Source organism: Homo sapiens, chromosome X (assembly GCF_000001405.40).
Source record: "Homo sapiens chromosome X, GRCh38.p14 Primary Assembly".
Taxonomy (NCBI): Eukaryota; Metazoa; Chordata; class Mammalia; order Primates; family Hominidae; genus Homo; species Homo sapiens.
In genome coordinates this window covers 39,605,946-39,616,965 of record NC_000023.11, presented here as the reverse complement: position 1 = coordinate 39,616,965, position 11,020 = coordinate 39,605,946, and the positions used below count along the sequence as shown (strand labels likewise).

Genomic DNA, 11,020 nt, shown 5'->3' with positions numbered 1-11,020 from the left:
TTTCACAGGCTTCTCAACATGTCCAAGGCTGAACTCAGCAACTGCCACTCCTGCGCCCAGCAAACCTACTCCTCCTCCGTATTTCTTGTCTCTGTGGATGGCACCACCATCCCTTCACGCTCCCAAGCCTGAAACTTGAAACTCATTTGTGGCAGACACTGTTGATTGGCTAACCCAACCCTCATTCCTGACAAGGAACCACATCGTGGAACCATGGGCCACACTTTAGGCTGATGACTCTAAACAGAAGTTTGCTGTGGGTTCCTGGGAAAGTTTTTATTCCCCTGATACAGGTGCTGCTCTTTCCTCTTCTTCCTGCTAGAAGGTAGACATGAAGGCAAGAGCAGTAGCAGGCATTTTGTAACCATGAGGGAGGGACCAAAAGAATCGCAGAGACTAAGGTGCTGACATTCTTGGACAGATATTTGCCTACTTCCTCTTTTCTTGTCGCATGAGCAAACTATATCTTATTTGTTTAAGCCGTGATGGTCAGATTCTTAGATCCATGTACCCCATAGCAGATGTACTGCTTGGATTTCCCCTTGTAAGATAGAGACACTCATTTCTTCAGCTGTTGAGAGTGATAAATGCTGGATGTCACCCAGTCCAAAATGTTTCATAATTTCCACAATTTCTTCCAAGATTCCATAGTCTGGCTTAGCCTGCTCTTTTCCTGGTGTTTACTTATTTATCTGATTCATTCACTGGGCTGTAAGTTTATGGCCATGTATTTTTGTGATGTTATTCCTCTGGTACTCGACACAGGAGCTAGGACATAGTCTACTTCTATGCTTCATGTTTCATGATCATTCACTCTCCAGGGTGCTGTCTTCTGAATACGTCCAGTTTGCTAATGACTTTTTCAAAGTATGACTTTCAGAACTGAGCGGAATGTGCCAGGAGTGGTCTTGACAAGAGTGGGACTATCATTTCCCTTTTCATAGACAATTACATCTGACTGTAGCCTATAGCAGGATTCTTTTTTCTCCGGCCACCATCCCCCACTCTTTACTTATACTGAATTTAGTGGCCATTACAGCTTTTTTTCATCCAAGATGTCACTAAGACACATTCCTCACATCCTATACCTGGACTTCTGCTTCCTGGATCGAGGCTAGGACTTTATATTTTTCCCTATCAAATGTCACCATTCCCATCAGTCTTGACTGCTAATTTTAATTGGTACTAGAACGGAATACGACTTTTGCATTTTTATTTAAATATTTGAATGTAATTTACTATAATTTCTGCAAATCGTCTCAAAACCTTTATACAAGAGGATGCAGAGGAAAATAAATAAATGAATGAATAAAAATACTGATGCGACTATCTCTATTGTAACAGTCTGTGGGAACATCACTGGAATCCTAGTAGATTATCCAGTCTTTTAATTGCTCTGCCAGCTTGGGGCAACCAGAAATTTGATAGGTGTGTGTCTTTTTTTTTTTTTTTTTTTTTTTTTTTTTTTTTTTTTGGGGACAGGGTCTCACTCTGCCACCCAGGCTGGAGTGCAGTGGCACAATCTCAGCTCACTGCAGCCTCTGCCTCCCGGGTTCAAGAGAGATTCTTGTGCCTCAGCCTCCCGAGTAGCTGGGACTATAGGCGTGCGTCACCATGCCCAGCTAATTTTTATATTTTTAGTAGAGATTGGTTTTCACCATGTTGGCCAGGCTGGTCTCGAACTCCTGACCTCAAGTGATCCGCCTGCCTCGGCCTCCCAAACTGTTGGAATTACGGGCAGAGCCACCACGCCCAGCTAGGTGTTTGTCTTACATTGGTCCATCTGCCCCTTGCAAAAAAATGTTGAACAGGACTGAAGAAAGAGCCATAGAGGGGTGTCTGGAAGTGTGTCACCTACTTCAGATTTGGAAAGTATCTCTCCTGCTTTGGAGCTGTAACTCAAGTTTCCTTCCCTCACCACCACCACCTGGTTCCAGCAGCGCTGACAGTAAGTGAGGGCAAGAGGGTGTCAGATGGGGGCCTAGAAAGGCCCTTATGCCAAATCCATGTCATTTCTTTTTGGATTACTTGCTCTTTAACACTCTCAGGACTTCTTCTCTCCTCCCCTAGTGCAGAAAATGGAGAGCGAGCTGGTTCTTGGGCACAGACAGGAGCTGATCTGGGCCCAAGAGGATTGCAGTCACCCTGGCTCCACGGGTGCACTCTCTGCCAGGCATGTCCTCTTGGGTATGGATGTAGGATGCCAGGGCACACTTTTTATGACCACGTGCTTTCTCTTTCTTCCTGCATTAGAATTTTTTTCACCACGTCAGCCTGCTTATTAAGAAACTCCCAGGTGCTTTTTACCTCGGCTCCACGCCTGCCCTCAAGCTCTGGCCTCTGCTGTTTTGTGGTCTACCCTGTGTGCGTGCCAAAATGTGTTGGTTGAGTCTCAGAAAACACGCGGGAGGAGGAGCCAAAGGTCACAGCATGCAACCTACCCAACTTTCCTGGGAGTGTGGGTGGCACCCACTTAACCCCATCTCTTCTCTTTCCACCCCTCCCCCTGGGCAAACTGAGCTGTCCCCTGCCTGTGTTTACTCCCAATTTCAACGACCTCTCCGCTAACTCACTCCATATGTTAATTTCTCTGTCTTCCACTCCAGCGGTAAACCTCAGGGTTAACCCTCCGCTCCCCCTTCCAAATCCGGGACTGGACTTTCCCTCCTCTTTCCTCCCTTTCCTTGTCTGAGATCAGAGTTCTTAACCTTTTCTCTGCCGTGGACCCCTGCGTCGCGCTTCTCAAACTTTAACGTAAATAGGGAATTACCCCAGGATTCATTAAAATGCAGATGCTGATTCAGTAGGTCTAGGCGGGCCCGAGATTTGCATTTCTAACAAGCTCCCAGGTGATGCTGCTGGTCCGTAGACCACATTTTTAGTAGCAAGGTCTCAGAGGCTTTCAAACCTGTGTGTGTGTGTTTGGCGGGGGGGAGCGGGGGGGCGGGAGGCTGCCCGCACCGCCTCCCCCGTCTCCCCAAGCACCAGGAAAAATCTGTGGGCACATTTGATGCATAAACAGACTCCGGCGGCTGCAGAGCATCACAGGTGCGCGTCCTGCCGGCCCTAGCCCCGCCGCAATTCATCAGCTCCCAAAGAATGCTTCTTTATAATCAGGAAATAGGAACCGACTCTCCCCGAGCGGGGAGCGCAGCCTGCACTCCTCCCACCTTTCCGGGCCGCTGCGCAAGGGGCGGACTTCAGGCGGGGCGGCTTCATAAACCAGAAAAAAAGAGACGAAACAATTAAACCTAGCGAGCCGGGATTGCTCCAAGGAACAGGATTTCAAAGGCAGAGGAGTCTGGCTCGTTTCCAGGCAGTGGGATCAGCCAAAGGGCGCGGGCTGCCCTCCCTCAGCGTGACAGGTGCGCCCCGGGCAGGCACTGGCCTCCCGGCTTGCCCTCTGCCCATCGCCCCCCGCGTTAGTGAAGAATGACTCAGGTTGGTAGGATAATCGACCCCTGCTAGCCCCGTGCAGTAGGAAAACACAGAGAAAAGCCACATTCCTTGTAGTCCAGCCGTGGAGCTGTGCTTGCTTTAGAATCACACCTTCCAGAGATGTTCTAGAATCTGGCTTTTCCAACTGCGTATATCTTTTTCTTCCTCTCTTTCTCTCTTTCTTCCTCCCCTCCCCTCCCATCCAACCTCCCTCCCTCCCTCCCTCCCTTCCTTCCTTCCTTCCTTCCTTCCTTCCTCAGTGAGGTCCTTACCTTTTACCTAAATAGTTATTTTGCTCATTGAATCTAGAGCTGGACACTGGATATTTACAAACTCAAACAAATAAATGCTATTACCTCCCAATTTCCGGTTTAATACAGACAATAACCACAGCATGAAATTTGTAAAGTATTTTAAAAGGAAAAAAAATTGTCTTACTCCGACTGTGGTCCCTGGACCAACTGCATCATCACCTGGGATATTCTCTGGCCCCAGCTTAGACCTCCTGACTGAGACACTCTGGGGAGTGGGACGTGGGACCCCACCACTCTGGTTTTTTTTTTTTTTTTTTAGACAGAGTCTTGCTCTGTCGCCCAGGCTGGAGTGCAGTGGCACGATCTCAGCTCACTGCAACCTCTGCCTCCCAGGTTCAAGCGATTCTCCTGCCTCAGCCTCCCAAGTAGCTGGGATTACAGGCATGCACCACCATGCCCAGCTAATTTTTGTATTTTTAGTAGAGGCAGGGTTTTGCCATGTTGGCTAGGGTGGTCTCCAACTCCTGACCTCAGGTGACCCACCTGCCTCAGCCTCCCCAAGTGCTGGGATTACAGGCGTGAGCCACCGCACCTGGCCGCCATTCTGTTTTAACAAGCCCTCTGGGCTGAAGTTTGAGAAGCAGCTCTCTAGAGAAATGCAGAGCCCATACTCAAGGTTTGTGTCGTGTACAAGAAAGAGAGTTGGAGAGCAAAGGGGAATTCACGTGCTCTGGCTCCTGGGATGGGGGAAGGGTGGACACTGGTCTAGGAGAGGCAATAAAGTTCTGACAGCACATGCCTCAGACGAGCCCAGGCCACTGCAAGTGAATAGAGGCTGCGCTGGAGAGGCTCTAGTGCTCCACTGTGTAACCCACCCGCCCACACTAACTGCCAGGAAACAGGATTGTCTACTTTGTGCTAATAAGCTGCCTCGGTTCTTCTAACATACCGAACGTGATAAGAGCATGGAGGGATGAAATATCTGGAGTAGTTAAGTAATCAAGGCAGGAATAATTAGGTAGACTAAACCCCAACAGAAATAATCCATCTTTTGGAAAGAAATGACATTTTGAAAAATTTAGAAATCTTCATCAAGCTATTATGCTGCTGAAATATATAAGCACTTTGCATTATGTTTTCTTTCCTGCAACACGCAACACATACGAGAGTAATTAAGGGATTTCACTCTGTCCTGAGCACTTCATCTCAATGATGGTGGCGCTGGACACTGGGGACTAATATAAATAACTCATCAATTATCTTTCCTAAATAAATTGTCTATTGGTTTAAAGAGCATATTATTTTGTATCCAGGTATTTTAGAGAGTTTTGCTAAATGTTGCAAGCTTTTAGGATGTTTTATTGTTGCATAAACAGGGGAAGCAAAACGGGTCCCATTTCAAAAGTTTTCATGGACCCAGAGGGTTCCTTCTCTTTCCTCTCTTGCTACTTCATCAGTTGATATTTGTGATTAACCTGCTCCATGAAATATGGGAGCTCTTACTCTGGAATGCAGGAGAAGATTTTAGCAGATTATATCCCCCTGTGAAAAATGGCCTTTGTCATCAGTGACTTGGAGAGGACGCTGTGGTGTGCTCAGATATATGGATTAGCAAGGAGCACCATGGTGTGAGATAAGACGGCGCTGGGCTGGGCTTGGGGAGTCCAGGGGTGTGCCCTTGAAAAAAGCGTGTAAGGACCGTGAGCGTCGGTTTTCTCATCTGTACAGCGAGTGGGGGATGAAGGGGTCTGCTCAAAGTCATCACAGTGCCTTTCACCCTTGATTCTACAAGGACAAATTTCAGGCATCCAAAATCTCTCCAACATGGCCAGGAAAAATTGCAGGAACACGGTGGTGTGCTTCTACTGGGATGGCTGTTATGGGGATGTTAGGAGCGGGCGTTTTTGTGTCTATTGTGACACCCCCTCCACACCATCTTTTAAAACTTCCACTGTGGCTTTTCTTGGCTTAGGCCTTGCTCTTCCTGCCACGAGTTTGAAATTGCTGCATGAAGATCCACCTGGCTTTAGGAAGCTGCAGTGCTGTGTAGCACATTTATTCCCAGTCAACGCTTCGAGCAACTGGAGCACAGAGTTTAAATGACTTTCCCTAAGCTGCTGTAGGAATGTGGAGCGGAACAAGCAAGGGGACCGTGGACCTGGATTCTCCACTTTGGGAGGCCGCCTGCTGACTCCAGTCTCCCGTTCCCCTTCCCTTCCACCTGCCCGTCCCACACCACACCCCACCACCCCCTGCCACCTGCAGCTCTAGTGGGTAACAGGAGGTCAGAGATTCTCCTTCCCCAGTGCCTCTTCATGTCTGGGCTGTTCCTGGTGACAGGGAAGAGGCATCTTGCTAAATCCCACACCATCCGTCCACAAGTCTGGCAATTTTCACAAGAGACCTAGTGGTCTCAGCCCACTTTTCAGCAACATTTAATAGCACAAGACTGTTGTGCAGCCTCAAACTACTGGGAAGAGAAGTGTTTGCAAATCTGTGGTTTGGAGAAAGCTGCACTCAAAACAACAATTCAGATCTTAATTTACAGCCCGCAGATTTTCAGGGAAGAGGATTTCTGGTAAGATAGAAATTATTGGGGCTTTATCCCAAAGTCTAGTTCATTTCCTGACTTTTAACTCTTTTGCTGCTGTCTCTTCAAGCCACTGCCTTGGCTGGCAAAAACAATGCACAAATGATTGAGGTCATTCATTAATTCAACAAACATCTACGAAACAAAGTCCATTTATGGGCATTGTTCTAGGTGTAGGTGCTGAGAATGACAAATGAATAAGACTTGGGTCCCTGACCTTGAGGAATGGTGAGCCTGCTGGGGAGAGATGACCATTATCAACACAGGTGCATGCTATATAGCATGACAGGGACAACAAAAGAAGTAGGGAGGGGGACCGTTGGCTGCAAACTAGTTTAAGGACCAAATTCCAGCCCTAAGACTCACTTTCCTTGGCCTGCAGAGCATTAAAAAAATGTATCCAACATTTAAACATGGAAAGAACTGACAAAATAAGTCATGATTTCTGGCTTCTCTTGAAACATTTGAAGATCAGGCAATTCTGGGCCTGTGTTTGGAGACAACAGTAGCACAACTGATGCCGAGTAGCGGCTGCCCCCTTTCGATGGGACTCGCAATCTCCAGCTGGACGCAGTGCCCAGACGCCCAGGACGTGCCTGTATACCCTTTCTCACTAGTTGTAGGCATTTGAGTGTGCAACTCTTGGCTTTGAGAACAGTGGAAGGGCAGAGATGGGATCAGCTACTTCACTGGCTTGGGTGAATTGGGTGTCTTTGTGTTGCTGTCAGGGCAAGCGAAACCGACATGGCCACAGGCTTCTCTGTGATCTGGTCTCTTTTTTTCTGACTGTGTTTCCAGTAGCAGCTCCTGGCCACCCTAAGCTTCTGTCTCATACAACGACTTGCACTTATGGGAATGGGCCCTGCTGTTTTATGCCTCTGGGCTGTGCAGTCCGCTCTGGTAACTGCTAGCCAAATGTGCATAGTTTGGTTTAAATTAAAATGAATAGAAATTAACTAAAATTAAAAATTTCACTTCTCAGATACCCTAGCCACATTTTAAGTGCTTACTAGTACCATTTTGGATGGTAAAGATATAGTACATTTTCATCATCGTAGAAAGTTCTAGTGGACAGCACTGCTTTGCGGTTTTGCTTAAACTGCTGCTCTCCTTTGGATGAAATCTAACACCTGGACTTTGAGCAACCGTCCTTTTAAGAGACTGTTTAAGCATCCCCTTTACTTGAAGCCTTTGGAGACATTTCCTTCTGGGTGAACTTGTCTGCATCCACCTCTCTGTCCCTGATATTTTTCCTTCACACAATCACACAGCACAAAGAACACCTAGATTTTGTATCTGCGAGCTTCTTGTGTGTGGGAACTGTGTCATTCATGGCTTGTTTGTACCAGAACTTAGCCCAGAGGTAGTTCTGTTGGCACATGATAGATGCTCAGTAAATGTTTGGGGCAGGGTTGCTGGGGCTCAGACTCAGTGGCCCCCAAAGGAACACATGATGTTCCAGACCTGTCAGTGAAGCGAGGATGCCGGAGAACTCTTTTTACAAGCTCAGCCTCGGGTAGCATGCACATTCACGGCAATTTCCAGCTCGAGCGAGCTGTTACTGCAAACCTCTAAGAAGTCAGTGTCTCGCAACATCGAGCAATGAGCAGCCAGCCTTGTGGGGATGAACTCGGAGCTCTTGTTTATCAACTCGTCTTTTTTTTTTCCCCTTCCCTTCTCTGTTTCCTAGTCTGTCTCATGGGCTCATTCCTGCCAACCCGTTGACCCTCACTCCCCAGCAAACACAGGTAATCTATATCATCCGTGTTTACACCTCAAGGTATCTGGGCTTTTCAGGCCAAAGAATTATGACAGATAGTACCGAATAGAAACATCTATTAAAAATAAGAATTCATAATTAAAAATGATGGGAAGTGGTAGGATGTGCCCTGTAACCCTGCTTCATGGGAGCAAGGGTTGAGTTATTTTCTTTGTGGGAAGGAATTCCAGTGTTGGGTTCCAGAACTGTGTCAGAGAAGGGTGACAGTGATGGTGGCTGTGACATAAAGCCAGAGAAAGCTTGAAAGGTGTGTGTGTGTGTTGGGGTGGGGGGGTGGGGATGAGCTCTGTATGCTTGGGCAGACTTTGGGGCTCTTCATCTTGAAACTGCAATTTTCTCAAATTTGGCTAGAGATAAAAGGTAATAGACATTTCTGTTAAAATGCAATATATGTTGTCTTTGATTGGGTTCCCTGGAAATGGACTTTGAGATGGAGATATGTATGCTGAAGGATCTTTTTTATTAAACAGCTTTATTGAAATATGATTTACATACTACAGAATTTATCTGTTTTAACATACAGTTCAAAGATTTTTAGTAAATTTACTGAGTCATGCAACCATCACTACAATCCAACTTTAGAACATTTCCATTGCTCCAAGAAGATCCCTCATGCCCATTAGCAGTCACTACCCATTTTCAATCCCAGCCCCATGCAAACATTAATCTACTTTCTGTTTCTATACACTTGCCTTTTCTGGGTGCTTCATGTAAATGGAATTATAAGGTATGTAATCTTTGTGTCTGGATTCGTTTATTAGGCATGATGTTGTAGCATGTATTATTAGTACTTCATGCCTTTTTATAGCTGAATAATACTCCATTCTGTGAATATACCACATTTTGTTTATCCATCCATCTGTTGATGGACGTTTGGATAGTTTCCACTTTTTGGCTATTGTGAATAGTACTGCTAAGAACATTCATGTACAAGTCTTTGTGTAGTTGTATGTTCTCATTCCTCAGGGGTATATACCTAGCTGTGGAATTGCTGGATCATATGATAAATTTATGTTTAGCTTTTTAAGAAACTGCCAGATTGTTTTCCAAAGTAAGTGCACCATTTTACATTCCCACTAGCAATTCCAGTTCCTCCATATACTCACTAATGCTTGTTACTGTCTATCTTTTTGATTCTAGCCATCCTAGTGGGTGTGAAGTGGTATCTCACTGTGGTTTTAATTTACATTTCCCTGGTGACTAAATGATGTTGAGCATCTTATGTGCCTTTTGGCCATTTGTATATATTCTTTGATGAAATAGCTATTCAAATTTTGTGCCCATCTTTAAAAATTGGGTTGTCTCCTCATTATTGAATTGTAAGGGTTTAAATGTATATATTTCTAGATACAAGACCTCTATCAGATACGTGATTTGCAAATATTTTCTCCCAGTTTGTGGCTTGTCTTTTCACTTTCTTAGTGATGTCTTTTGAAGTGCAAAAGTTTTAAAATTTGATATAATCCAATGTATTAGTTTTTCATTTTATGGATTGTACCTTTGGTGTCATAACTAAGAACTTTACCTAATCCAAGGTCACAAAGATTTTCTCATGCTTTCTTCAAAAGTTTTATAATTTTGCCCTTAAATTTAGGTCTATGATTCATTTTGAGCTAATTTTTGTGTGTAGTGAAGGATAAGGATCTAAATTCATGTTTTTGCATATGGCTATCCAATAGTCCCAGCATCATCTATTGAAAAAAATATCCTTTCCCATTGAAAAGCATTGGCACCCTTGTTGAAAATTAATTGATCATAAGTGTAAGATTCTCTTTCTTGACTCTGAATTTTATTCCATTGATCTAAATGTCTACCCTTATACTAGCACCACACTGATTTGATTACTGTAGCTTTGTAGTATGCTTTAAATCAGGAAGTATTGGTTCTCTAACTTTGTTCCTTTTTTCAAAATTATTTTGATTATTCTGGTTCTGTTACATCTTCACAGAATATTGGGATCAGCTTGTCAATTTCTGCATGTGGGAGGTTTATTTGTAGTAACTCAGGGGACAGGAAGGCAGGCTGGGGGGCTAACCCATAAAGCAGTTGCAATTGAGGCCACAGCAGACATGGGGAACTCTGGAGTTAGGATGGCTCTTCAGGCTCTTCACACCAAACTGAGGTGAGGGGTCAGGCATTTGTATCCCTGTATCAGCAAGGGATGGCTGGGGGCCATCTCGGGGGAGGGGAACATAAATATGGGCAGGGCAGTTTCTTGTGATCAAGGGCAATGCCCAGTGAAGGACTCAGCTGTGAGTGGTCAGCAGCTGATATTCTAGCCACTGGGGCATAGATCCATTGGCTCCGACATGGGACTCTGTCTCCTTGTGTTTTTGAGATTCACTTGCTTCTCAGGTGAGTTTGCCCCAGTTGGAAAGACCTCCAGAATTCTAAATGGTTTCATTTCCTGGGAAACTTACAAAAGCAGGGTTGTGTGGCCATAACTGATATTCACCATCCCTCTACCTCTATTGTCCATTCTAGATTCCCCTTACACTCAGCTAGTACCTCTGCTGGTCTAGGCAGCTTTCCTGGTGGGGAGAACCAGACTGTCATTGCATATGGGTCTAAGCCTCTGGTTACTCTGCCCTTCTTCTATGGCTATGGCTGCAATATTCATCTATTTACTATTAAAACTGGATGTGGGAGCACCAAGATGAGATTGTAGCAGAGGGGACTTAGGCACTGGATGGATCAACTTTTAATCAGCCCCAAGATTCTAAGACATGATGATACTGATCCTTATGCATGTCTGGGCCCTCTATGGTCATGCTGCACCTGTTGCTGCACTGAACCTTGCTGATCTCTCCAGCCAAGTTCTGTTCTCCCTGGTGAGACAGACTTGAGACAGGCGGTCTCGAGGTCTGGGGAACTGCAGCCAACCATCCCCAACAGGAGCTCAGAATCCACAATAATCTTCACCAGACCCCAAAGGCCAGCCCTCTGTGGTCACTCAAG

At 45.5% G+C, this 11,020-nt stretch overlaps 1 annotated feature.

Annotated features, from left to right (window-relative positions):
• Positions 2,196–2,395: an enhancer, noted in NCBI's record as "active region_29527". NCBI's record gives its function as "activates an Ori minimal core promoter by ATAC-STARR-seq in GM12878 lymphoblastoid cells {active_cell/tissue: GM12878}" and the evidence as "EXISTENCE:reporter gene assay evidence [ECO:0000049][PMID:35858748]".